General features: G+C 40.7%; 2 protein-coding genes across 18 annotated transcripts in view, besides 4 other annotated features; both read right to left on the bottom strand.

Annotated features, from left to right (window-relative positions):
* CCDC30 (coiled-coil domain containing 30) overlaps positions 1-27,686 on the bottom strand; it is a 201,084-nt gene extending 173,398 nt beyond the window's left edge. For 4 of the 10 annotated variants that reach the window (NM_001395517.1, NM_001395379.1, NM_001395382.1 and 1 more), the window contains exons 1-3: positions 19,895-20,507; positions 3,227-3,332; positions 977-1,130 (exon numbers count right to left, since the gene is read on the bottom strand). In NM_001395517.1, coding sequence (NP_001382446.1) covers positions 977-1,130; positions 3,227-3,241 — 169 coding nt within the window. In that variant the 5' untranslated portion in view covers positions 3,242-3,332; positions 19,895-20,507. Of the gene's footprint in view, positions 1-976; positions 1,131-3,226; positions 3,333-6,656; positions 6,686-10,489; positions 10,672-19,894; positions 20,508-26,442; positions 26,547-27,293 lie in introns of those variants that run through there. The other 6 variants (NM_001395385.1, NM_001355227.2, NM_001355226.2 and 3 more) reach the window with 5 other exon arrangements.
* PPCS (phosphopantothenoylcysteine synthetase) lies at positions 10,376-27,452 on the bottom strand. Of its 8 annotated transcripts, none has more exons than NM_001287511.2 (3): positions 26,720-27,250; positions 26,443-26,546; positions 10,376-10,671 (listed from the first exon to the last, which is right to left on the bottom strand). In NM_001287511.2, the coding sequence occupies exons 1-3, from the start codon at positions 27,225-27,227 to the stop codon at positions 10,549-10,551; spliced, it is 735 nt and encodes a 244-aa protein (NP_001274440.1). In that variant the 5' UTR covers positions 27,228-27,250; the 3' UTR covers positions 10,376-10,548. The 8 variants fall into 8 exon arrangements, with proteins under 8 accessions (NP_001274440.1, NP_078940.2, NP_001274437.1 ...); NM_024664.4 differs by lacking the exon at positions 10,376-10,671 and adding an exon at positions 22,557-24,190; NM_001287508.2 differs by lacking the exon at positions 10,376-10,671 and adding an exon at positions 22,557-24,190 and having other exon boundaries at positions 27,069-27,250.
* Positions 20,561-20,610: a silencer, noted in NCBI's record as "silent region_762". NCBI's record gives its function as "represses an Ori minimal core promoter by ATAC-STARR-seq in GM12878 lymphoblastoid cells {active_cell/tissue: GM12878}" and the evidence as "EXISTENCE:reporter gene assay evidence [ECO:0000049][PMID:35858748]".
* Positions 26,900-27,019: an enhancer, noted in NCBI's record as "active region_894". NCBI's record gives its function as "activates an Ori minimal core promoter by ATAC-STARR-seq in GM12878 lymphoblastoid cells {active_cell/tissue: GM12878}" and the evidence as "EXISTENCE:reporter gene assay evidence [ECO:0000049][PMID:35858748]".
* Positions 27,110-27,179: an enhancer, noted in NCBI's record as "active region_893". NCBI's record gives its function as "activates an Ori minimal core promoter by ATAC-STARR-seq in GM12878 lymphoblastoid cells {active_cell/tissue: GM12878}" and the evidence as "EXISTENCE:reporter gene assay evidence [ECO:0000049][PMID:35858748]".
* Positions 27,420-27,649: an enhancer, noted in NCBI's record as "active region_892". NCBI's record gives its function as "activates an Ori minimal core promoter by ATAC-STARR-seq in GM12878 lymphoblastoid cells {active_cell/tissue: GM12878}" and the evidence as "EXISTENCE:reporter gene assay evidence [ECO:0000049][PMID:35858748]".

Genomic DNA, 27,726 nt, shown 5'->3' with positions numbered 1-27,726 from the left:
AAAAACAATAACAACAACATAACATTTATAACCAACAAAAGGCTCATATCCACAATATATAAAGAACTCCCACAAATAAATAAAATAGAAAAATATACAACAGACTCGAGCAGGAACTTCACAAAGTTGTATATCCAAACGAGTAACAACAACAACAAACATATGAAAAGATCTTCAACTTAATTAGCAGTCAGGGAATACCAGTTAAAGCCACACTTAAATACCACTATACACTCAACATAAAAGGTGAAGTTGGTAAGACTGACAGTACCAAGTATTGAAAACCAAGGTGGAGGAACTAAAATCTCACATACAACTGAGGAAAGCTTAAATTAGTATAATTACCTTGGAAGACCAAAGTAGAACCTGCCCTTTGATTCAGTAATTCTGCTCTTACCACAATCAGAAATGTGTAATAAGCACACTGAGACATATACCAAAATGTTTATAGCAGCAATATTCATAATAGACAAAAACTGACAACACAATCGTCCATCAGTAGAATGGATAAATTGCAGTATGTTTATTAATGAAATACTATAAACAGCAGAGTGAACAAACAACTGCTACGTGTAACAAAATGAATGAATCTTATAAGACTGAGCAGGAGAAGCAAACCATAGAAGGCATACTGCATATAGTCAAACGCAGAAACTGCATTCAGTCAGGACAGTAGTTACTCTGAAGGAGGAGGAAGGATGTAGAGATAGAAAGAAGGAACACAGGGGACTTCTGAGAGGCTGGGAATTTCTTGTGGTGAGTGGTATACACTTACAAGTTGTGCACTTTTGGTAGATATGCTTGGGCTTTGACAAAAATTCCTAGCATGGTAGAAAATGAGGCTGTTCATCACTTTTATGTGTTTATCTTAAAGACTTGTTTCTCAGTGTTTTTTTTTTTTCTCATGTTCCACCCTGAGATGAGATCAGTACAGTTAAAGCATGATCGGAAATGGTCATCTGAAACCACAGCTTACCTAATTTACATTGTTCCTTCTCCTTCACTTGTAGTTCATCAGTGAGCCTTTGAATCTCTTCATGAGCCACCCCTAACTTCTTTGCTACTTGTTCCATTCCTCTTCCTAGGCAGTTTTGTGATGTTTTGTCTTTTTCCAGGTCTTCATTATGATACTGAAATAAAACTTCTATTAGTAATAAAACAAAGAGCAAATGTACTCTCATGACATTTTGCTATTTTCTATTAATGTTTAAAAGCCAATAAATTAGCAAACAATATCTATGTGTATTTCTTTGTGTGTGTGAGTGTGTGTGTGTATGTGTGTGTGTCTGTGTATTTCCTTTCTTAGGTTGAACCAAATAAAACTGGTGATATTTGATTGCTTTTACTTATAAATATTTGGTTTCATGTGGTTCAACCTAACATCCAAGAGATATGAGTGTATTGTTCTATTTCTTTGCAGTATTTTTTATTTATATACATTTTTACATAGTCATAATACCAACACATGTACAAGTTTCTGTCTGGCTTTTTAAATTTAACATTATACAGGAACACTTCTCTGTAAATTGCTGTACAGATTTTCTAATGTAATGATTTTTTTTTTTTTTTTGAGATGGAGTCTCACCTGGTCCCCCAGGCTAGAGGGCAATGGCACAGTCTCTAATGGCACAACTGCAACCTCCGCCTCCCAGGTTCAAGCGATTCTCCTGCCTCAGACTCCCAAGTAGCTGGGATTTTAGGCACGCACCACCACGACTGGCTCATTTTTTGTATCTTTAGTAGAGATGGGATGTCACCATGTTGGCCAAGCTGGTCTCGAACTCCTGACCTCGTGATCCACCCACCTGGGCCTTCCAAAGTGCTGGGATTACAGGCATAAGCCACCGCACCCAGCTTGTAATGATAATTTTTAAAGGCTGTACTGTGTTCCAGCATGGCTATAACATTATTTCTGTACTCACTTAAAAATTTGGATAGCTTCTGATTTTTGCTATTGAAAATAATACTGTGATGTACAGTTTAATCTTGGGTTACCTCCCATACTTAAATTCACAGTGTACACTTTATTCACCAGACTTACCTTTTAATAACATTTCCCTAGATCAAAAACATTAAATTCCATGAGCAGAACTGAATATATTTAAAATAATGTGCTATATATTCTAAAGAACTCCTTAAAAGGGGAACTACAAACATATTTGTAAATAAAAAATATGTATAGTCCCAAGGTGATTTTTTTTTTTTTTTTTTTTTTTGAGACAGGGTTTTGCTCTGTCGCCCAGGCTGGAGTGCAATGACATAATCTCGGCTCACTGCAACCTACGCCTCCCAGATTCAAGTGATTCTCCTGCCTCAGTCTCCCTAGTAGCTGGGATTACAGGTGTGCACCACGATGCCTGGCTAATTTTTGTATTTTTTAGTAGAGACAGGGTTTCACCATGTTGGCCAGGCAGGTCTTGAACTCCTGACCTCAGGCGATCTGTCTGCCTTGGCCTCCCAAAGTGCTGGGATTACAGGTATGAGCCACTGCACCTGGCCTAGTCCCATGGTGATTTTTAAAAGGACATAACATAGATTGTTTAAATTTTGATACATTCAATAAAAAATCAGCTATCATGTCAAATGAGTGATTTTTTCCTCCTCAAATTTTTGTGATGTGTTCAAAATACTTTTATGCATAATTTGATAATTCTTACAGCATGACTCTTTTTTTTTTTTTAAGAGATGAGGTCATGCTTTGTCACCCAGGCTAGAGTGCAGTGGCGCAACCATAGCTCACTGCAGACTCCAACTCCTGGGCTCAAGCAATCCTCCCACCTCAGCCTCCCCTGTAACTGGAACTACACCACACCCAGCTAATTTTTTTTTATTTTTCATAGAAACTGAGTCTCACTATGTTACCCAGGCTGGTCTTGAACTCCTGGCCTCAGGTCATCCTCCAGTTTTGGTCTCCCAAAGTGCTGGGATTATAGGCATGAGCCACCACATCTGGCCATGAATCTATACATTATCATACATTCAAACAAAATACTTCTAAGGTGAAAGCTGATTTGTAATTAGCCACAATTATTAAGTAAAGGATTATAATTTCTTTTTTACCTCACTCAGTTTTTTTAGACTGTTACACAGGTTCTTGATGTTCTCTTTGTAGAGACTGGTGGATTTGTTCCAATTTCTTCTTAACAAAATTCAATATATAAATGAAACGTACATAAATCAGTCTTCATGAACAAAAATGTCATTTTGCCTGGGTGTGGTGGCTCACCTGTAATTCCAGCATTTTGGGAGGACAAGACAGGAGGATTACTTGAGCCCAGGAGGTTGAGGCTGCAGTGAACGGAGATCATGCTACTGCACTCCAGCACTCCAACCTGGACAAGAAAAAGAAAGAGAAAATGTTTAAATCTTCAACTAAAGTATAAAAATGAATGATAAATTTTAGCAAGATTGCTAGATATAAGGTCAATATATAAAAATAATTATAATTTAAAATACCAGTAACAAATTAGTAGAAAATTAATTTTTTTAAAAAGATAGCATTTATTATTAATAGCATCTAAAAATATGAAGCACCTAGGAATAAATCTAACAAAAATGTGCAAGATCTTTGTGGGGAAAATTATAAAAATTTACCTATATACATTAGAAAATGAATAGATATTTCATAATTACAGATCATATCTATCAAACAATTTGAGTTAATTTTTATATATGGTGTGAGATAAATTTATTGCAAGGTCTAAAATTTCATATATTGCCTTGACATCTTTCAGTCTCACAGAAGCCCCAAAAAAGCCTAGCCATCAGTTACTCGGCTCGCACCAGAGATGTCCCCCATCCAGAGAGAAAGAGTCCCCATCTGGCCAGTTCCTCTATCAGCCGGAGCAGCTGTACTCCACACAGTCCTTAAACTAATGAGTTTCACTTCCCTGCCAGCCCACGGAATTTTCCAGACAAGCCAATCACATCTTCCCATGGGAACCAGGAGGCACCTCATCTTCTTGTTACTACAAAGCCTGCCTCCCATACTCCCTATGAGTTCATTCTATTCTTGAGAGTAACCCCTTGTGGCCCTGCATAGCATAGCATATCTATCCTCTTCCCATGGGCTGAGTGTATCTGACTAATAAGCTGCTATCAATCTCATCTCTCTCCAGTGTCAGGTGTCATGTATTTGGCCATCTTGTGGTATTTAGAGCAGGCATTCCTCACCAGTGGGGAACAGAACTTCGATCAGGATTTGGGAGGCTTTTTTTTTTTTTTTTAAGCATATGTCTATATCTAATTGTTCCAGCATCATTTGTTGAAAAGGTTATCCTTTTCTCATTGAATTACCTTGTCACCTTTGTTGAAAATCTGTTGATGGTGTACTTGTGGGCTTATTTCTGGACTCTCTATTGAGAGTTCCATTGATCTATAGATCTATCTGAATGCCAAGAATGCATTTTCTTTTTTTGAGATGGAGTCTCACTCTTTCGCCCAGGCTGGAATGCAATGGTGCAACCTTGGCTCACTGCAACCTCCACCTCCCATGTTCAAGCGATTCTCCTGACTCAGCCTCCTGAATAGCTAGGATTACAGGCACCCACAACCACGCCCGGCTAATTTTTGTACTTTTAGTAGAGATGGGGTTTCACCATGTTGGCCAGGCTAGTCTTGAACTCTTGACCTCCGGTGATCCGCCCAACTCGGCCTCCCAAAGTGCTGAGATTACAGGTGCGAAACATCGCGTCCAGCCCAAGAATATATTTTCTTGATTGCTACAGCTTTATGGTTAAGTCTTGAAATCAGGAAGTGTTAGTGCTCCAACTTTGTTCTTTTTCAGTTTTTTTACTAGTCTAGGACCTTGCATGTCCACATCAACTTTAGAATCAGTTTGTCAGTTTCTACAAATAAAAAAAGTGACTTTGCTGATTATTTTATGCTCAGGCTCTTTACAACATTAGCTAAAACAAAATATTAGCTTTAACCAAATTAGGAATGCAACACAAATGTTACAGGCTATATTTTATCATAAAATGGGTATCTTGGGGGGGCGCAGTTTGGTTTTTGTTTTGTTTTATTCTGTTGTTTGAGACAGGATCTCACTCCGTTCCCCAGGCTGGAGTGCAGTGATGCAATCAAGGCTCACCACAGCCTCGACCTCCCAGGCTCAGGTGATCCTCCCACCTCTGCCTCCCGAGTAACTGAGACTACAAGTGCATGCCACCATGCCTGGCTAATTTTTGTATTTTTTGTAGAGATGGGGTTTCGCCCCTTTGTCCTGGCTGGTCTCAAATTCCTAGGCTCTAGCAATCTACCTGCCTTGGCCTCACAAAGTGCTGGGATTACAGGCGTGAGCCACCGTGCACGGCCAGAGAATCTGTGTTAATTCTTTCTGGCCATTATTGGAAAACTATGATCCAAAAGTGATTGAGTAGTTGGTATTAGAGTCATCCAAGATTTCACCCACCATTCTCAATTTGTTTGATAGATTCCTTTTCATTAATAAATCAGTTCATCTTCCCTCACCATTTACACTCTGAGCCTTGTTTTCGTTCTCATTCTTTGATTATTACTGCAAAACTACCCCTAAGTTTCCCACTTCCAATCTGGTCCCTATGTAATCCATCCCTCTACTGTTGCTAGAGTAATTTTTCTAAAACATGAATCAGATCATGTTAGCTGCCCTCTTAAAATTATTTAGTGATTCTCCAGATATTTTATAACAAAGTCAATAATTCATATGTTCAAAAATATTTGTATGCTTTTAGCATAGTCCAGGAACATCAAGCATAGTCCAGGTGTCAAATCCAAATGCCTTAGTTTAGCATACGGTTTCACCATGACGTGGTTCCTGAAAATATCTCCAGCCACATTTCTTCTTAGCATTCACTCACGTGAACCACTATGTATTATCAACTCTGTTCCCTTTGCCAGGAATGCCTTTCCCAGCTTCTTAATCTAGCTAGCACCTTTCAAAACACAACTCAATGCAATCTCCTTTGGAAGCCTTTTCTGGTCACCCTACCCATCCTGTCTTTCTCATCACCTCCCCTGAATTTTCCTAGTATTCTGTGCCTTCCCTTAGCATAGGACTATCCACACTGAACTACAACCACTGGCTTATCTCTTTCCTTCACAGTTTACAGATTTATTGCAAGTCCAGATCAAGTCTAATTTGAAGAATGTGGGATGCATAGGATTGATTTACAAACTGAGGCTTACTGGCAGTCCAAATCATTAACATGCTAGGGAAAACTGTATATGAACTTTTGCATTATAATGACATCATTCTCCTATTTATCAATCATCATGAGCTAATTTATATTGCAAAAACACGTGGCCTGTAATCCCAGCACTTTGGGAGGCTGAGGCGAGTGGATCACAAGGTCAAGAGATCAAGATCATCCTGGCCAAAATGGTGAAACCCCGTCTTTACTAAAAATACAAAAATTAGCCAGGCATGGTGGCGTGCATCTGTAGTCCCAGCTACTAGGGAGGCTGAGGCAGGAGAATCCCTTGAAGCCGGGAGGCAGAGGTTGCAGTGAGCCGAGATCACACCACTGCACTCCAGCCTGGGTGAAAGAGTGAGACTCCATCTCAAAAAAACAAAACAAAGAAAAACACATGTTGGCAGTAGGACATACAATATCTTCTGTTTCTTGCAGTGTGGCAGATTAGAGCCCTTGAACAACCTTCCTACTGAGAATTACCAGAAATGCCGGAAGAAATTTTCCAGAAGCTTTGTAGAGGGGGGAAAAAAAAAAGCCAGAATTAAAGAAAACTCTTAAAATGCAACCATTATACAAACAAAAATAGAATATTAACTTTAAATCATGAGAAGAAAATTCAGTCTACCCAGTAGAAAGCAAGAAAGGAAAAAATGAGGGTACAGTACAGTAATATGTCCTATAATTAACTCAATTTTCTCTACACCTAGGCAAAAAAAAAAAACAAAAAAAAAAACTTCCATCAACGAACTCTTGTAAAAGAAATTTCTAAAAGGAAAAAAGGAAAATGATCCCGAATGGAATATCTGAGATGCAAGGAAAAATGCTGAGTACAGAAAATAATAAATGTGTGGTAAATATAATCACTGACCATATATAATAATAAGTATAATAACAGCACCTAATTTTTTTATCTTTTTTTTTTTTTTGAGAAGGAGTTTCACTCCTTTTGCCCAGGCTGGAGTGCAACGGCACAATCTCCGCTCACCACAACCTCTGCCTCCCAGGTTCAAGCAATTCTCCTGCCTCAGTCTCCCAAGTAGCTGAGATTACAGGCATGAACCACCACATCCGGCTAATTTTGTATTTTTAGTAGAGACAGGGTTTCTCCATGTTGGTCAAGCTGGTCTCGAACTCCCCACCTCAGGTGATCCGCCCACCTCAGTCTCCCAAAGTGCTGGCCTAATAGCACCTAAGTGTGTACCTACACAAATATAGAATATTCTAAAAGGGTTCTATCTGTATTTTCCTTTGCAGCTTTGAAGTACTTAATATTTTCTAAGTCCTTAATATGCTAGTGAAGGAGTTAAAAATACACTACTCTGGTATATTGACTATTTTGAGTTAAACACACTTGAAAAACAGCAGGTGCAAGATCATTCTGATCTTCCATTTCTTAAAAGCAGGAGATGAAATTCCCATGTTCAAAGATGCCCTCCCTTTGCTAGAAGGAAAACAACACTCTTCTGATTAAGGATGGGAAGTTGAGGCCAAGAGAATTCTTTACAGACCTTGTTAAAGTAACTCTTATCTTTTCAGCCTTTCCATATATTTAGTTGCATTTCACAGCTTACTATTGTCTGTCCAATTCAGTATATGAGAGATTGATTCTAAGTGCTTCTTTGGGTCTTCATCTCCATTTATTTCCAATTTAAATAAATGTGTATGCTTTTCTCCTGTTAATCTGTTTTATATCAACTTAATTCTCAGGCTCAGCTGGGAAAAAAAAAACCTAAAGAGGAAGAGGTAAAGTTTTGCCTCCCCTAAACTGGGTACTTTACAAGCCAGGTACTGTGAGAGACACAAATCACTAAAACTAGGACATGATCTCTACTCCAGAGGAGCTGATACTGATTATAATATAGTGTGGTAAGTGCTGTAATAGACACTGAAAGAAAATACCCTGCACTCTCATACACATTTCAGACTATTTCAGAATACATACTTTTTTAAAAGACAGGCAGAAAATACACTTAAAACATTAGAAGTATTATACTTTTCTTGGGGTAGAAGATATAATTTTTCCCTTCTTTATAAGAGCATACATTTCTCAAATTTTCTATAATGTCATATGTTAATTTCTAGAATTAGGGAAGAAGTTTTAAAATGACATGCCCACAAAAGGAAAAACAACTCTGTTTGAGTTGGAGCTCTTTAAACTCATGTCTAAGCTGTTCATTTTCCTTTTCATCATAACCATGAAAAAATGCTTCTCTTCCCTCTGTTAGGTTACAAATACAGTTTGCATAATTTTCCACCTAAAAAAAACACATTTTCTTACTTTTAGTCCATGGCTCATATTTTAATCCATATTAAAGGTCCGGGAAGTGAAAGAGCAATTAAGAGATCACCATTCTATCATGACTATAATCTGAGAAATCAACAGAAAACTCAGCTTTCCTCAAGTGTTGGCATCTGGCTCTAAACTCCCTTCCAGCTGTCTTACATTATCATACACTATGTTTCCCATAGGTATGATGACATGTAACCACAAATTTCTGGGACAGTCCCAATCTCTAATATTTTTTTCTATCAACATACCAGGTTTTAAATCAAGTTTCCCTCTCTGTGGTTTAGGAAATATGGTCATGATATCCATGAACAGAAAAAAATCTACATAATAATTAGGTTTATACTGCTATGCTGAAACTGATGGCTAAGATGATTAAATGTTAACAGGAGATTACATTAAAAATTGTTGTGTATTCTTTGAAAAGCTTGCAGTTAATATAACGGCTTCACAAAAAGCTACTTTTATGTGCATAATAACAGGTAGAAAGCGAATATGCTCCAGGCACTATATTAAGTACATCAAATATTTAATTGTCTCCACAACCACATGGGACTATTATTCTCCCACTTTGGAGGTGAAGAAGCAGGCTTAGAGAGGCTAAGAGACTTGCCTTGTCACATAGGGAATAAGGGGAGGAGCTAGAATTCATACTCTGATGGGTAGAAACCAGAGACTGAGTTCTTAGTACGCCAAAGTGCTTAGAAGTAGACTACCGAAATAACTGAATTGCATTTTGGTGAATTCTTTGGAAGCCTATAGGAAAACTCCTTAAAATATGTACAGAAAGATGAATAGTATAGAAGGAACATAGGAATCACAGTTCAACTTTATCACTTCCTGGCAAACTTTCGTTTCCTCTTTAAAATGGCAGGAACAATATCCATTTCTAATGATAATAGCTATCATTTATTGAACACTTGCTAGGTGCCAAGTACATGGGTAATTTATACACACTAACCTGTATAAATCTCACAAATCCCTTTGAAGATGCTATTAACATCTCTATCTTACAGACAGAAATTTCAAGCTCAAAGCAGTTGAGTAACTTGCCCAGAGTTAAACAGAAAGATAATGCTAAAGGCAACTTTTCACCCCCATCTGCCTAATGTTAAAGTTCACACTCTATGATGCTATACTGCTTTTCATTCTAAAGGAGCTGCATTCTTCTTTAGAATTTGGAGATTGGATTGTCCTTTAAGAATTAAATTTAAAAATGTTACCTGTGTGAAGCTGAGATGTGAAAACATAGCAGAGTGATTCCCAGGCAACCTGAGATAATTCATTAGTTCATTTAAAGAAAGTATGTTGATGAGTATTGGAAACATCCAAGAGAGTAACAATAGGGCCAAAAAAAAAATAGCTTTATCTACTCCTCTAAGCACTAGGTGCCTGGTCCTAGGATATGAGGTCCAGAAACGAGGGTAGATATAGATAGCCCTATTGTGGAAACCTGGCTATCTCAGCCAATGCTATAAAAAGTTAGAATCATTTGTTCACCAAGTAAACATCTAATTAAAAGTTGGCTTCCCACATAATGTGCCTGTAAGAGAATACATCAGCCACCAAAAATACATGTTTAGTTCCTCTGGCAATTATATTTCTTATTGTCAATTAAAAAGGAGGTGTCTCATCTCTATGACTTTGGTTAATACAAGCCCACCTTTGAGAAGCAGATCCACTGATACTATGCCGACATTAGTTTCCAAGCCTTCAAAAAAAAGAGTCACCTAGAAGGTCAGCTCCTGAGAGAAGGATGACTTTACCAAGATAATGAAAGCTACCTGGAGCAGTCCTGTTTAGATGTTCAGCCAGTCATCACTGGGCAACATCCTATACATGGAGTCTTAATGGAAACCAACACAGACTGTTGCCATGTTTCATTAGAAAAAAAAAAAGGTCTACACGTGGGTGCTTTTCAAACTATACAGTGATAGCCAAACATTAGTTTTTAATATGTCAATTTAATGAAGGGCAATGAACAAAATCACAGGTGTCTTTAAAATTCTATGCTATTAGTTCTCACTTCTTTTGTTTCACCCATGTGCTTCACTATAAGCTCTTCTACATCTGTGGTAGCAGTCCTCAGCCTGTCTTCACTGTGCTGGCTGGAATAAGCACCAAACAGAGTTGTTCTTCTGTAGTAGCAAGGGGATTGATTTCTTCTTTTTCAAGATGGTGAAGTATGTCTTCTAACTGAACTTTTCCCTTGATAGAAGAAATAAGCATATGTATATGAACACACACACACACACAACTGAGGATGCAAGATATCTATGTGGGTGCCACCTTAGTCTCCTTATTAGAGTACTAGTCTTTAGGGTACTAGCAATAGAAAGCTAGTAAGCTACCTGAACCTTCATCACACTTATGTATGTGTATGTATATATATCTTGGAAAATCCAAGATATTTCTAAAGAACAAAATATAGCTGGCAATACACATACAAAGCTGCTATGTGAGGAAAACTGAAAGCAGGAATAAAGAAGTCTATGTATATATGACTAGAGTCAGACTCTCTACAATGTATATTTTACTTTTCCTGTTGTTATCTAGTTATGAGCACTTAAATGAAACAGCTGGTAATACCGAAAAATGTAAGCTTTGAACAACTGTGTATCTTCTAAAATAACAAATGACATGATATACTTAATGAAAATTATGTACAATGGAAAAAAAAAAAGCTTTTCTGTCTGTTCTAAAGTTTGCAACTTTTATCTGAAAAGTCTCCCAAAGGGCTCTTGTTTCTTTTTTAAAGTCCAAAGAAGTCTTTGTTCCTTTTATTGCATATTTAGAAATAAAAGGATTCCTCTGGAAGCTAGAGAGGCCCCTAATTCTATACTATCCAGGATTTATTTTACTCACAGAATATGTCTTATAATTTATGTTGACTTCTCATTAATTCAGTTCTTTTCTGCAACTTCTTGGTCTAAGCCTGCTATCAATATCAATTTTTTTAGGTTGCAAGTAATCATGACATAACAGTTTGCAGTATGACAGTATATGAAAGATAAATATCTGCTGATCGATGAAGTGATATCTGTGTTACTAGAGCCACTAACTATTTTTTTTTCTTTGAGATGGAGTCTACCTCTGTTGCCCAGGCTGGAGTGCAGTGGTGTGATCTCAGCTCACTGTACCTCTGCCTCCTGGGTTCAAGTGATTCTCCTGCCTCAGCCTCCTGAGTAGCTGGGATTACAGGTGTGTGCCACCACACCTGGCTAATTTTTGTATTTTTAGTAGAGACGAGGTTTCACCATGTTGGTCAGGCTCGTCTCGAACTCCTGACCTCAAGTGATTAAAACCACTAACTATTAATAGGACTTGCTGTTCTAATCAAATACAACTTTTAACCAAGTTAATCTGACCCAAATTGCAGTGACAGACATAATTGTTATTGTACTTCAGTCCACATAAATATACTATTTTGCTTTTTAAAAGCAAAACCATATTTTTATTATTTTTCTCCTTGATTGCTAAGTTTTCTAGAGTCTTACCATTTCCACATCAACAGTATTTATAGATGATAAATGGTTTTAATTATCAGCTGATACTCATACTGATGAAAAACACCCAAGTCTGAATCCTGCACCTCTGTAGGTCCTCTTCATGACATATAACTAAAAATTTTCTTCTGTTCCCCCGACCTCCTTCACCTGGTCCCCACTCATATCTTCCCCCTTCTCCCTACAAGGTCTTTGAGCATCATACAGTTATTTGTGGTTTTAGTCCTGGGTAGCAGAGAGCCCAAGATACTAAGAATACATAGCATCCTATGAGGACTATTTGGCAATATGGAAAAATGCTAAGAAATATGTGATAATGCTAAGAGAAAAAGCACAATGCAAAAGTATTATTATAACTATGTAAACACCAGACACACAAAGAAAAGACTGGAAGCAAATACCTCAAAGTGCTAAAAGCAGTTGTGATAAACTGATGAGGTAATTAGAAAATAAATGCTTAAATTATTATAAGTCCTGTACTGTGGGTTGCTTGCCCAACAGCATAATCCCCATGCTGTAGGGGTGGAGTAGGGGAGTCTAAGGTTGGAGGATGTTAAAAGGAAAAGGGGATCAGGATATTGGAAAATACCTTTGGATCTGATCCTTGCTGATCAGTAGGACGGTACAGGCTTCAGGTCAATACTCAAGTGCACAAATCACCCAAGCTCCTTCACTTGACCATTCTCCCAAAGCCAGTGATCTTTATGCACATTTTATTTAGCTGCCCATCCTCATGGCTACACCTGAGTCCTTATCAACAGCCTGAGCTAATGTTGAAACCCTGCCATCCTAAACTCCATGTGTCTCCCTCTAACACCTTCTATGCTTCTTCCCCCTTTTTCTTAATTGTTGTAAATATACATAACTTAAAATTTACCATTTTAACCATTTTTAATAAAATTCCATGGGATGAAGTACAATCACAATGTTGTCTAACCATCACCACAATCATTTCCAGAAATTTTTCATTATGCCAAACAGAAACTCTATACCCATTAAACAATAACTTCTCATTCCCCTCACCCCCAGGCCCTGGGAATCTCTATTCTACTTTCTGTCTCTATAAACCTGCCTATTTTATACAACTCATAGAAATGGAATCATACAATATTTGTCCTTTTGTATTGGCTTATTTCATGCAGCATAATGTCTTCAAGATTCATCCATGTTGTATCGCTAATCATAATTTCATTTAAGATTGAATAATATTCCATTGTATGTACATAGCACATTTTATTTATACATTCACCTGTTGATGGACATTGGAGTTGTTTCCACCTTTCAACTATTGTGAATGATGCTGCTATGAACACTGGTGTAAAAGTATTTGAATCCCTGTTTTCAATTCTTTGGGGTATATACGTAGGAGTGGAATTGTTAGATATATAATTCTATGTTTAACTTTTTTTTTGAGGAACTGTCCTACTGTCTTCTACTGCAGCTGCACCATTTTACGTTCCTACCAGCAATGCAGGTCTTAATATCTTCACATCCTTGTCAACACTTACTTTGGGTTACTTTAAAAAAAAAATAGCCATCCTAATGGGTGTGAAGCAGTTGCTCTCTTAAACTAAAAGAATTCTACAATTACAGTGAGACCTCCAATCTCTGGACCATTACATCCTCTCTCAAACTACCAGATACTCTTTGGCTTCACTTGTTTGCCCCTCAAGCCTAAACCCAACTGTTGATCATTTCAATCCTTCACCAACATCCCCAGTTATCTTACCCCTTTGTCCCACCTTCCTTGCAAATCTCAGCCCTGTAAAAGTTCATGCATTTGACTATTATCCACCTATTTTAGGTTGCTGAGTGCCGATAGAGAACAAAATCAAACAGGCATGCAAATCTGAACCATTACAAATTCATGGCCTCTGGTCTGAGCCAAGCTTCTCAACCGCTGGGTCATTTATGAGTTGCTAGTTTCTGTTACTATTTCACTCAGCAACTATTCAAAACTTTTACCTCTCCCATCAAACTGAATATCTCATCTCTCCCCTCACTCTTGGCAAATGACCTTGTCTCCCAGAGAACTAGTAAAACAAAGGTCATCATAAAACAGTCAGTTGCTTCTCCTCATCAACATACCAACCTTCATCTTTACCAATCTTGTCCTCTTTCCCTTCTCAGTGGAAGAGCTTCCCATCCTCCTGATCAAGGTTAATCCCTTTACCTGTATTCTAGGCCCCATCCCATACTGCTTCCTTAGGGAAGCATTTTCTTTTCTGTATGTTCCTTATCTCCTTTTCTACTGTTCTCTTGTCCTCAGCTCAAGACATCTCTGGTCTTAAAGATACAAGAAATAACCTTCCTTTAGCCCCACCATATACCTCTCTAGCTACTGTCCTGTTTTGGACAATTTGTCTCCCACACTCCTATACTGTGGCTTCTGTGCTTGGCTTCCACACTCTTACACTTGCTGCATTTTGCCTTCTGCTCTTACCATTGTACTCAAATTATCAGTCAACAATGAACTCAAAATGCCATATCCATAGCTCACTACAGTTTCAAACTCCTGCGCTCTAGTGATCCTCCTGACTCAGCCTCATGAGGAGCTAGGACTACAGAAATGTGCCAACATGCCCATCTTATTTTTAAAATTATTTTTTTAGAGACGAGGGTCTTATATGTTGCCCAGGCTGGAATTGAACACCGGGGCTCAAGTGATCCTCCCATTTCAGCCTCTCAAAGTGCTGGGATTACAGGCGTGAGCCACTGTGTCTGGCCCTGTTTTTGTTTGTTTTAACATATGATCTCTTTGCTGTACGTCTTCACTCCTTCCCTGAAAGTTTTTTTTTTTTTAATTCTGTTCTGTGATGTCACTTTCTCCTGTTTTGACTCCTATGTCTCTAGCCTTTCCTTCTCAGTATGCTTCCTGGGTTCCTCCTCTTCCATCCCTTCAAATGCTGCCATTTCCAGGAAAACCCTGCCTTTAGCTCTCTGCCCTTCTCACTACCATGTGATTAATAGCTTGGGCACAGGAGTCTAATATACCTTGGCTCAAACCTTGGCTTCGCTACTTTGTAATTGTGTGACTTACACAAGTCAGGTAACTTCTTTAAATTTTTATTCTGTCTGTAGAATAAATGTAATAGTAATGCCTACCTCACTCTGTTGTTTGAAAGATTAAATAAGAATCTCTCTCTGCTATGCTCCAGATCAATCTAGAAGAAGTGGCAAGAAACAGAAACACATTGAAGTTGGAACAAATACAGGTGAGTGTGGCAGAGACTGCTGGTGTCCTTTAATATTTACTATTCCCTTCTTCCACAGAAATAAGATATTTAGTGTTTTGACTGATCACAAGACTGACTTCCTTACTGATAGATACAGCCAGGTGACCAAGTTCTGACCAATGGGTGTAAATGGAATTATGTGGTGCTTCCAGAAACTGTCCTTAAGGAATGTGATGCCCCCTTTCTTGCTCCTTACTCCTTTCTACTAGCTGGAATTCAGACAAGATAGCTGAAGCTTGAGCAGCTATCCTGGGCACCATAAGCTGGAAACCACATGCCATGGATGCTATAATATCAGGAGAGAAGAAATCTGGGTCTCTGACCATTTCAAGGTGCTGCCCCACCAGTTATAGATTGTTTTATTTTTGACTTTTATGTGGGAGGAATACATTTCTTTCTTTTTCAACGCATTATTATTTTGGGCTTTCTGTCCCTCACACAACCAGCTAATCCCAACTACTATATGAGGGTTATTGAGTGGATGAGGTACAAGGACATATGCTGGAAACTAAATGTGGCTACACAGGAATTGGATACAGAACTACACAGCCATTAACAGTCTCTCCTGACCCATGAGGTCTTCTGTCTCTGAGCTTCCCTGCGAGTTTGCTCCTCTTGCTTCTCTACAGAGAAAAACTTCCTCTGCTTGCTCATCAGCAAGGCTGAAAAGAACTATTCAAGTCCTTAGCGAATGTGACTTTTTAGATTAAGCCATTTCTATCTTTGTATCTCTTAGTTCAAATTTTTGAAAGAGACAATTGTTTGTTGCTCACCAAATAGGCTGTGTCCCCCTCTCCAAAGTTACCTGTATTTTCCCCATTCAGTCAGTTGTACATGGAATGGGTTGGAAGTAGAGGTACAAATATGGCCTCTGAGGGCCTACTCTTTAAGCAAGATTTGGCAGACAGATCCAAGTTCCAGAGAAGAGGCTATAAGCTAAGAGGGCAATATAAAATGAGTCTACTGTTTAAGACCAATGCGTGTCCAGTTTTCTAGTGAACAACTCAGCTTGAACAACCCATTCATCTTTCCCTCCTCCTTCTCTATTTCATAGTTAAAATCACTGTCAACATAGTTTCCCAAGCCAGAAACCCAGGAGTCATCCTTGATCCTCCTTCCTATTCATTCTACTCTGGTATGCAACCAGTCACTGAATTTGCAGTACTTCTTTCATCATTTTCTAATTCATCCTCTCCATGTCTAGGGTTACTGCCTTAGTTTAGGCTTGCCTACTATTTGTTCAATTTAGTATAATAGCAACCTTAACTGATGTTCCTGCTGCCAGGCTGGCCCTCATCCAATCCATTCTCAGCAAAACTCCAGACTGATCCTCCTGAATGCAAATCACTTGCTGCTTAACCTTCTTGTTGCTTTCATGTAGAGTTCAAACCCTTTAGCTTGGGACCAGATATTCTTCACAATCTGGTTCCTCCCAGTCTCTCTAGCCTTGTCTTCTGCCGCACCTTGACATTAGCCATTCATGTCAGTATACTTATTGGTCCCTATCATGCTGCTTATATTTCCACAAATTTTGACATTCAGGTCACTCTACCTGGAATGGTGCTATGAGATCCCCAAACAAACATTTTCCCAGTGGATTTATTGAGACCTGATGATTAACTTTTAAATTCTAGTAAACTAGATCTTGAAGTAATAAAACTAAATTATAAATGCTCTGACATCTAAACTGTACCTAAAATTGCCCACACAACAAAGTACATAAGAATACTATTCTTGGCCGGGCGCAGAGGCTCATGCCTGTAATCCCAGCACTTTGGGAGGCCGAGGCAGATGGATCACCTGAGGTCAGGAGTTCAAGACTGGCCTGGCCAACATGGGGAAACCTCATCTCTACTAAAAATACAAAAATTAGCCGGGCATGGTGGCGGGTGCCTGTAATCCCAGCTACCCAGGAGGCTGAGGCAGGAGAATCGCTGGAACCCGGGAGGCAGAGGCTGCAGTGAGCCGAGATCTCAACACTGCACTCCAGCCTGGGCGACAGAGCAAGGCTCCATCTCAAAAAAAAAAAACAAAACAAAACAACAACAACAAAAAAACTATTCTGTCCAAAGTAGATACTAAGTAAATGCTCATTAAATCTCTTAAAAATCCAATCTCTGGAAAGAAGTGCATCCTGAAGTAGGTTTAGGCCTCCAAAAACTTCTAGATGTAAAGAATAAGGTGGTAAAGCAAACTGAGACAAAGAATTTTAAACGAGAAGAGGACAAGGAGAATGGGTGCAGTCTCCTTGTTTTTTCTCCTGGTAGGTACTCTCCAACTGCATTGCAGGGGCCAGGACCCTATCTTACGCCATAGCACATCTCCTGCCTCTGAGCAAAGGCTGAGCTTTGGATTCCAAAGTCTTTGAGTGACTCTAGGGAACAAAGTACATAGCACAGCCACAAAAACTGAAATATGCTGTCAGGTGACTTTTCACTGTAACCTTTCTTTCTTCTATTTTCCACTCCTTTCACACAAATATAATTTAAAACTCACACACATCTTAAATAAAATACATATTATGCACAGTTTTTCAATTCCCAAATAAAATTAGTATACTTTTTTCAAAAGTTGAAAACACTGTAGCAATGTAAAAAATGTTTAAAATATAAAGTGAAAAAGAAAGGCAAAATGTACATAACTATGTAAAAATGTACACAGCTAAGCAAGAGTGACAGAACAAAAAAATGAACTGTTGATGTGTTAAGACAGAGTTTCTCAACCCTGGCACTACTGACATTCTGAGCTGTTGTGGAGGCAGTTCTGTGCATATTAAGATATGGAGCAGCATCCCTGATCTCTACCAACTATATGTCAGTAGCATATCCCTAGTTGTGACAACTAAAAATGCTTACGTACATTGCCAAATGTCTCACAGGGGGCAAAACCCCACCCCACTCCCCAGGTTTAAAACTGTGCTAGAGGTCGGGTACCGTGGCTCACACTTGTAATCCCAGCACTTTGGGAGGCTGAGGTGGGCGGATCACCTGGGGTCAGGAGTTCAAGACTCAGCCTGACCAACGTGGAGAAACCCCGTCTCTACTAAAAATACAAAATTAGCAGGGTGTGGTGGCACATGCCTATAATCCCAGCTACTCAGGAGGCTGAAGCAGGAGAATCACTTGAACCCGGGAGGCGGAGGTTGCAGTGGGCCAAGATCGCGCCATTGCAATACAGCCTGGGCAACAAGAGTGAAATTCCGTCTCAAACAAAACAAAACAAAACAAAAACAAAAACAAAAAAAACTGTCCTAGAATGACAGGAATTTATTTTTTTTGAGACAGGGTCTCACTCTGTAGCCCAGGTTGGAGCGCAGTGGTGCGATCATAGCTCACTGCAGCCTCGATCTCCCAGGATCAAGTGATCCTCCCACCTCAGCCTCCAGAGTAGCCAGGCTACAGGAGTGCTCCACCATGCCTGGCTAATTTTTTGCATTTTTTGTAGAGTCAGGTTTTTGCCATGTTTGCCCAGGTTAAATTGTTTTTAAATTTATGCCTTGCTATTCAATAAATACATATTAGAAGAGGAAAGGAAAGGAAAGCCCCTTACAATATAGCATCTAACACTTTTTTCAAGAGTTAGGTTTTATCCAGTTCCAATTTAATGTGCAAGATTGAAAAGGCTGCAGAACTTGTTTTTGTTTTCCGATCTATTCTAGAGGAGAAAGCTGAATTTCTCAGTATTTAAAAACTTGACCTGGCTCTAAGCATGAGACATCACAAACGACTGCTTCTATTGGACTGAGAAATCAAAATATCCAAATCATTGTAGCCCCAAATAGCTGTTTAAAATGTGTATGTTCTGTATGTCCTCAAAATAGGTTTACTTTTAAACCTGAATACTGAAGAAGAAATAGTAAGATTCAACAAGGAATGCGTATTGTAAGACAAATTAAGTCAAGCTTTCCAAGCTAAAATAAAATTGCACTGGATCTAAATTAATCTTATGCCATATTTAAGGCCCTCTGTTCCAGCCTTTTTAGAACAATTGTGTCTGCTCCCTTGCCAAAAATATTTATTTTCAATCACTCCTTATTGTTTTCATTTATTGGCTTACATCACAAAGAATGTTTTCTGATTCAGAAATTGACAGGAAAAGAAGGCACAAGTACTATTTCAATCATCTCCTCTCCAGAAAATTACATCATATCCCCAGTGTTGGGTTCATATGGGCTTAAAGTTGAAATCCTGTCTTACATGATCACTTTGAATGCCCTTTTCACATTGATAAACACATCAATAAAATTTAATGAAACAAGGAACAACCTTCTTTCATTATGTAAGCCTGAAATGGGTCCAATACTGCAATTTTGATTTTTTTTTCCATTTTCAAAACACACTAGACCTACAGTATTTAATGTTTATATTTACCAATTTGCACTTCTCCTAGTCTCTAGTTTACCCAAGACTGAAAGGTTGCCATAGTGCAAAGAAAAACAGAAAATCTTCCCAATGACTGCAGAGCTGGAGAATGCGAAATACTTAGGTACGCAAAGCATTGTAGCAGGAAAGCAGAAGGAGGTGGTCTATAGATGACAGAGGTGGTGCAGACAAATGGACATTCAATAATGTGCAGCGTGAACAGGGAAAAGTTAAAATGGCTGTGAAATAAGCAGGATGAGAAAGCTGGTGCTTGGAGTGATGAGAGAAGTGGAAAAAGTTGTAGCTTGAAAGGCAGAAGGTAACTGACTTCATGACCTCTGATGTTGAGGATACAAAAGGCCTCCAAATCTTCATCGGGATTCAAGGTTCTGCATGACGAACATCGGCCAAAAAAAATCAGAAAACGGTAGTTCTTTGTTCGCGGGCCTACACGTAGGGGAAAGCTGCCCCTCCGTGGACTTCGTAGTGGCCTGGACCTTCGGGCGTTGTCTGTCCAGGGGCGCGTCTCGACACCTCACCTTTAAGTGAGAAAAGGAACGCCGACCTACCTCGCTGAGGATGTTCTAAGCCCGCTCTAATAATAAGCGGCAGCCTAATACTAAATGCTTGTGGCAGCTGGGTCCGGGGAAAACGGGCGAATTCTCCTTCAGGCGGAATCACTCCAGCCAGGGAATAGAAAGGCCGGGCCAGGAGGGGTTCCCCTCCTGTAGTTTCGGACCATACTGGGGAGAAGCAGAAAAGGCCCGTAATGCGGAAAAGAGGGGAGAATGGGTGCTTTCCTCCTTGGGGCTGAGGCAGGAACCTCAAGAACCAAGTCGGAAATTTTCCTGCGGAGGGTGCCGCGAGCGTCCCGGGGTCGCTCGGCCCCTACGCGCTCAGCTGCTAGCTGCAGGTGCCTACGGAGACCTGGGCGTCATAGCAACCGCGCTCGCCGCAGAGACGCAGACGCGTCCTTCCGGCGGGAACCATAGAGACGACGCACGCCAGTGGAACCAGAGACTGTGGTTCTTGTGGAGACTGTTATTATGTCTCACACCATTGGCCTTCGGGTCGGGGGCGGAGTTGTCCCGGCCGTATCGATAGTACAACTCATTCCATTGGCTTTGGAGACAGCTGTAACCATGGTAACATGTCGAGCGTTTGCGACTTAGCGAATACATTTTGTCTTGGGGCGTTCTAGCTCTCAAAGAACTTCCCGCCAGGACTCAGCTGGAGCCCCTGCCTACTAACCTTGGATTTATTTTTCTACAAGTTCCTTCATTCTTAAAGGGGCAGGAAGTGCTAGCTCAAGAGCTCTGAATTTTAGGCCTAGATCGTGTCACTAGCCACGTGGGGCACGTAAGATAAATCACAATTTTTGGATCCAGCTTATTATTGTAAAAAGGAAGAAACTGGGCTTGACTAGAATTGTCCCTAAGGCTGAAGCCCTTTAGAAGTCCTAAGCACTGAAAATTCAGGTAAGATGAACGTTATCTTCCCCACCTATGTAATGCAAAATAAAAACTTATAAATGACACAAAATTTAACATACTCAATTTATATCATCTTTTTAGATGCTCTTATTGCAAAATTCTAGTTAATTATCAAACTCGATTTTAGTCATGTTTTGGGGGCCCTTGCTTTGCTGGTATCCCAAACACAACATTTCTTGGTCTTACTCTAGTTCCCCAAGAGAATACTTCACAAATTTTTGCTGGTTCTACATGCATTATCCGGACGTATTTTACTCTTTATATAATAAAGTGCCTCAACCTCTCCTTCTGGCACTAGACCTCTTGCAAGTGTTTTTTTCTGAACTAAAAGGCTCACCACCAGCACTTGTAGCCCACTTCACTCCTGTTTATCAGTTTAAGTATCACCTACTCAGGGAGACATTCCTTGATCCTCCATCCAAGATCAGGTTCTTAGTTACCCTCATTGACTCATGTTCCTTTTCTTTATACACTTCCATTTGCTATTAAAACACACACACACACTCTCCCCCACCCCCCTGGAATTTTTACTTGTGTAAATAATCTAAGTGCTCTGAATATAAATTAAACTGAAGTGGAAAACACTAAATAATTTCATGTAGAACACTGATTGTTTTTAAGCGTTAACAAGACAGGATATAAAATTCCCAAGGGAGGTAATAATTATGGTAAAGACAAACATTAAGATCACTTCTACTTTTAACCCCATATATCCCCATTGTACATTCAAAGATGACAGTCATCATCCACATAAAGCTATGAATGCAGAGAAGAACATATTCTACTTCTTGCCCTTCAGTACTGCAGCCACTGACAGAGCCCACTGCTTTTGGGGTTTTGCAAATTGGACCTGAAGTTCACTTAAAATCATTGTCAAAGGAGCCTGGGTGGCTGGGCGCGGTGGCTCACGCTTGTAATGCCAGCACTTTGGAAGGCCGGGGCGGGCAGATCACGAGGTCAGGAGATGGAGAACATCCTGGCTAACAAGGTGAAACCCCATCTCTACTAAAAATGCAAAAATTAGCTGGGCGTGGTGGCGGGCGCCTGTAGTCCCAGCTACTAGGGAGGCTGAGGAAGGAGAATGGTGTGAACCCGGGAGGCAGAGCTTGCAGTGAGCCGAGATTGTGCCACTGCACTCCACCCAGGACGACAGAGCAAGACTCCGCTCAAAAAAAAAAAAAAAGAGCCTGGGTAACATAGTAAGACCTTGTCTCTATGAAAAATAAAATATTTAGCCAGGCATGGTGGCACACACCTGTAGTCTCAGCTGCTCAGAAGGCTGTGGCAGTAGGAGTGCTTGAGTCCAGGAGTTCAAGATTACAGTGAACCATGATTGGACCACTGCACTCCAACCTGGGTGACTAAGCATGACCTTGTCTCTAAGAAAATTTTTTTGTTCAAAGGGACTGCTGCTTCCAGAACAGTCTTGACTGCTGCAGTATTTTTCCTCTGTTCAAGGTCACATTTCCTGATTAATGAAGTATTTCAGTCTTAGAATTTCTGTCAAATCTTCTCAATTAAATTTATTGTACTTCTATTATCAGACAGACACAGGGGCTACCCTTCCCTACTCCATGAAACACCATGAATTGTATTTTAAGTCAAATATTTATGTGAAACACAGTACCTGCTTCTACCTTAGTCATCAATGCTAATTTTTCAAATTGCACCTGGACTATCCTACAGATCATTTAGGGAATTTTTTTGCACTATGCTACTTGTGCACTCCAAACCCAAAACGTAGGACAGCAAGAGAAGTATTGAAAGTTTTTCAAAGATTCTCAAGGATTCAAAGATTAAGCAGGGCAGTGGTGTAACACTGCTTTGCTAAGTGAGAAAAACAATAATTGCAACCATTTAGTGAGTGTGAATCAAATGCTAGGCACCAGACTGATGCTTTCTTTTTGCTATTTCATTTGATCCTCACAATAAATGGCATTACTTTGCAGAGAGATTATCCTCATTTTATGCATGTGGACACTGAGATTAAGTCAAATGCCTAAGTTTATAAAGCTAATAGGTGGCACAGCTGGCTAAGTTGACTTCTAGCCCATACTCTACCACACTGTAATGCATCCCTCAGGACAGAGATCACCAAGTGGCCCCTGCCTGGTCCCAGGTGGAAGGACATATTAAGTTAAACTGAAAAGCAGTCCTAAAATACTTGAAATGTAAACTATTACCCAAACATGAGGTGAATCTACAATAAGAAGCAAAAAGTAAATGCAGTGAAAAGCTCACCATTCTACAATCTATCTTCAGGGAGGTATCCTTCTTTCCTACTACTATATTTGATAAATTTCAAACAAAACAAAACATCCTTTCCATTGTGTCAGCTTTTGGACACACACTTTATTGCACTTGATTTTTTTATACATCCATTTCCTAAACAAGATATGTTTATTCATCTTTTTAATCCTCATGGCTCAGCACAGGGCCTGACATACATAGGCATTCAACCAATATTTGATCTCCAAAGCATGACCATTCATGCATCCATAATCCTTTTTCTATAGTATAAAGATGGCTGACATTCAGGCCCCCATGTATATTTTAAGGAATATATAATTCCCAATAAGCTCTTCTTTTTAAAGGTGATTAACAGTTCTAGTGTTCAATTTCAAAATCAAAATGACATCATATCAGGTGTCATTAAAAGACAAATGCCAAACCATATTTGCCTACACACCACTGCCTTTTCCCTTTCTTTCATTTTATCTGTCCATATGAAAGCCATGGTTTTTTTTGTAGTTTTCACCATCTCTAAGAGCCCTGAACAATTTTTGATCCTATAAGGGCTTTTTACTTCAGTTTCTGTCACCTATAAAAGCTGTGTGTCGAGACTGAAGATTATCCACTATCTTCTCTTCTATCTCTACGCCTTTTTCTATTTCTTCCTCTGATAGCAATAACTTGGTTTCCGAGTCTTTGGTTACAATAAACACAAAGGACTGTCGTGACTCAAGGATATTAGCCACCACCACTTGATGCTGATAAATTTCCAAAGCCTTCCGAGCTCGATTAATTACAATGGCGGGGTCAGTCTCCAACTTAAAGGAAATTATAAATGCTTTGGGAGCCCAATCTTTAACCAAAGGAGAAAGCAGTTTTGGCACCATCTTCATTGTTATCTGTATTGGAAAAAGAAAAGCTTAATAAGCAAACAATGGTCATTACCTACCAGGTCAATCTCATGGGAAACTAAGGAATTAAATTTAAGTGGGATTTCTCAACCATCAAACTTTTCAGTTAAATGTTTAGTTTAAAAAGTCTTAGGGGAACACAGTGGCTTGGCCTGTAATCCCAGCACTTTGGAAGGCCAGGATGGGTGGATCGCTTGAGCCCAGTTCAAGACCAGCCTGGGCAACATGGCAAAACCATGTCTCTACAAAAAAATACAAAAATTAGCCAAGCATGGTGGCACCCACCTGTAGTCCCAGCTACTCAGGAGGCTGAGATGGGAAGATCACTTGAGCCTGGAAGGTTGAGGCTGCAGTGAGCTGTGTTCATGCCACTGCACTTCAGCCTGGGCAACAGAGCGACACCTTGTCTCACAAAAAAAAAAAAAAAAAAAAAAAGCCTTGGCTCTGTAGAGTTCACAGCGATGCCTAAATTCAAGGCTCCATACATATTCTGGGGCAAACCATGCCTTCTGAATAAGCCCTGCCATGCTCTGCCAACCTTACCACCATTAATATTTTCTCAAGCATGTCCCTTTATTTTTGAACCAAACCCTCAAATAAACAGATACAAATAATCTGTTCATACAAATATTTGGCAGAAGCCTAAATAAAGTTGGGTTTTTAAACCTCTCAGCCTAAAATATTTCTTGCATTGGTAGAATGGCTATTAGATTCCATTTTTAAATTGTCACATGTAACACAACTTAGCAGTGAGGAAACTGATTTTATTTTCACTTGACCAAAACTCCTAGTACCTCATCCCCAATCCCTTCTCAGGGTAATGTTCAGTTGCTTTGTTACTTTCAAGATAGAACTAAAAACTGTGGGATAAACTAAAGATCCCAGAGATTAAAAAGCGTGAAATCACTAAGCTAATCATCAGACTTTGCCCTAAAAAAAAGCTGTTAGTGTGATAGGGATCATATACCAGTTTATTTATACTTTATTTTTCTCCTTAGCATTTATCACTACTAAACGAGTTATGTATTTGACTTATTTATTGTCTCCTCTGCAGAGGAAGCAACACAAAGGCAGGGTATGTTTCTTTTCACTGCTTTCATCTCTAAGTCCTACAGCAGTGTAGGACCTCAATAAACTATTCTACAAAGTCGGCAAATGCCCCACAGATAAGAGTTTCTCCTAATAAAATCCTACCTGTATCACCCAATAAATGACTAAGAACTCCTGAAGGTTCCAAAAATCTAAAATCACAACCACACCTACCTTATCCATATTTCTTCCTTAACCTACAATAGCCCCCAACTAATCTACCCACTCCACTTTCTCCTTCTCTACTTCGTCTTTCATACTGATGCCAGAATGTTGTTCTCAAACAAAAACTTTATCTCATTCTCCTACTTATGTGTCCCTTAGCTCCACAAGAAAAAGTCCAAGCTCCTTAAAAAAGGAAAATAAAGTCTTCTACAAAGCAAGCCATCTCTTCAGTCAGCTCTCCAGCCTTACCAAAGCACTTCGGTTCACAGCCCACTGCCCACTTTCAAATTCCTACTGCCATACTCCACCTGGAATGACCTTTCCCACTTCGTACACCCTCTGCTCATTTTGTTTTGATTTTTGGTGTTTTTTTTTTTTTTTGCGACGGAGTATCGCTCTCGTCGCCCGGGCTGGAGTGCAATGGCGAGATCTCAGCTCACTGCAACCTCCGCCTCCTGGTTTCAAGCGATTCTTCTGCCTCAGCCTCCCGAGTAGCTGGGATTACAGGCGCCTGCCACCACGCCCGGCTAATTTTTGTATTTTTTTAGTAGAGACGGGGTTTCACCATGTTGGCCAGGCTGGTCTCGAACTCCTGACCTCAGGCGATCTGCCCTCCTTGGCCTCCCAAAGTGCTGGGATTACAGGCGTGAGCCACCGCGCTCGGTTCTGCTCATCTTTTAAAACCCAGTTCAATTCATCTCCTCCAAGAAGCTTCATCGACTCCCCCAGGATTCACTCGCCCCATGATCTGACTGCACTTTGTACATACCTCCACTAGAGCATTTATCACTCTGTATTGTAATTATGTCTGTGTCCAGCTCCCTCACTAGATTGTGAGGTCCATGAGGGAGGGCGGTGTCTTATTCATCTCTGTATCCCCTGTGCCTAGCGAATACAGATGCAGAAAGGCCATCTCCAGATCAAGAGGAAATTAACCCAAGATTGGTTATATGGGATTAGATCTCTGGAAGAGAAGCGCCCATCACCTGCAGTGGGCCCCCAGATGACTGGATCTTGTGTTCAGGCATTTCAGAGACAGGAACATAGAAATCTGACACAGCCGCAGCCAGGTAAAACATCGCAGAAGGGCCTGCAAAGAGAAACACAAGGTGTTAACAAATCGGCGAGGTACGATATAGGATCAGCTCCTTCTCAACTCGGGTTCCCCAGCTGAGATCCGTGGGTAAGCAGGAGGTAAGGGGATAAGTGGCTGGAAAGAAAGGCTGTGCTTCCAGGCAAAAGGGGTACTCCTAGGGCACGCACCTAGCGGATTGAGTGCCTGGGCCGCAGCCTGCAACAGATGCAAATAGTCCGCCAAAGTGGTGAACTCTACTGCCAGGAAGGTGCCTGCAGCCGCAGCCTCCTGGTAGCTCCTCAGAGCCTCAGCAAAACCCGGAAGTGCATTCTCCTCGGCCTCCAGGCTCAGCAAGCCCGAAAGGGCTGGGCCCGAAGGCCGCAGAGCGGACAGCCAAGTCTGGGGTGGGAAGCGGTGGGCATAGGGGAAGGCAGAGCGAGCGCGATACAAGAACAGGACCCCGTAGCCGGCGGCTAGGAAGGCCTCGGCCGAGGTTGCACCGCGCCGCCCGCTGCTGAAGTTGTCCAGGAAGCGCACCGGCCGCGCTTCCAGTGGGACCTTGGTGCCGCCTGACGTAACCAACACCACCCGCCGGCCCTGCGCGCCCAGCCTGGCCGCGAAGCGAGCCATAACCTCAGCCCAGCGCGCAGCACCGGGAGGCTGGGGGAACTCGGCTACCGGATCCATTTCCGCCATCTGCAGCGCAGCGGCCGGCGCCTGCGCACGTTTCGCGGCCGCCGCGCCACGCCCCTTCTCGCCTACCTGGTGTACGCGCCGCGCCGTACTGAGTGGGCGGTTCACTACCCTTCTTTTGACACTAGGTCCCGATCTCGCCAAGTCTGGAAATGCGTAGTTGTTCTGCCCCAGAGCCCAGCGAAAGTGACACTGCAACGAGGGGGATCCCCGGCTGGGTGGGCATCTGGTAGGGTCACGTTCCCTCACGTTCGTTTCCTAGCCTGGGTGAAGAACTGGCCATGTTTGACCCTTACCGGCCACTGTACGGGCCTTTCTGGACTTGGACTCCTTGGGAGTCGTTTCTCGGCCATTTGACCCGTGGGACTTGTGGGTTTTGTGCTGCTTTTTCTTTCTTTCTTCCCCTTTTCCAACTTCAGCAATACACCCAGATGTTAGTCGAGTCACGTCCCGCCGCCCTCTGCCCTTGAAATGCTGGCAAGTACGCAGCCCCGCGATCGTC

The sequence above is a fragment of the Homo sapiens genome, chromosome 1 (genome assembly GCF_000001405.40).
Source record: "Homo sapiens chromosome 1, GRCh38.p14 Primary Assembly".
NCBI classification, from domain to species: domain Eukaryota; kingdom Metazoa; phylum Chordata; class Mammalia; order Primates; family Hominidae; genus Homo; species Homo sapiens.
The sequence above is the reverse complement of the archived record's forward strand: the minus strand, read 5'-3'. Positions and strand labels throughout refer to the sequence as shown.

Bases quoted from the DNA above. Each gene is read 5' to 3' on its own strand.
- PPCS (NM_024664.4), bottom strand. From the start codon at position 27,227: ATGGCGGAAATGGATCCGGTAGCCGAGTTCCCCCAGCCTCCCGGTGCT. The intron at 26,547-26,719 runs GTGCGTGCCCTA...TTCTCTTTGCAG, and splicing joins CCAGGCACTCAATCCGCTAG to GCCCTTCTGCGATGTTTTAC. The intron at 24,191-26,442 runs GTGATGGGCGCT...TTTCCAATACAG, and splicing joins CATCTGGGGGCCCACTGCAG to ATAACAATGAAGATGGTGCC.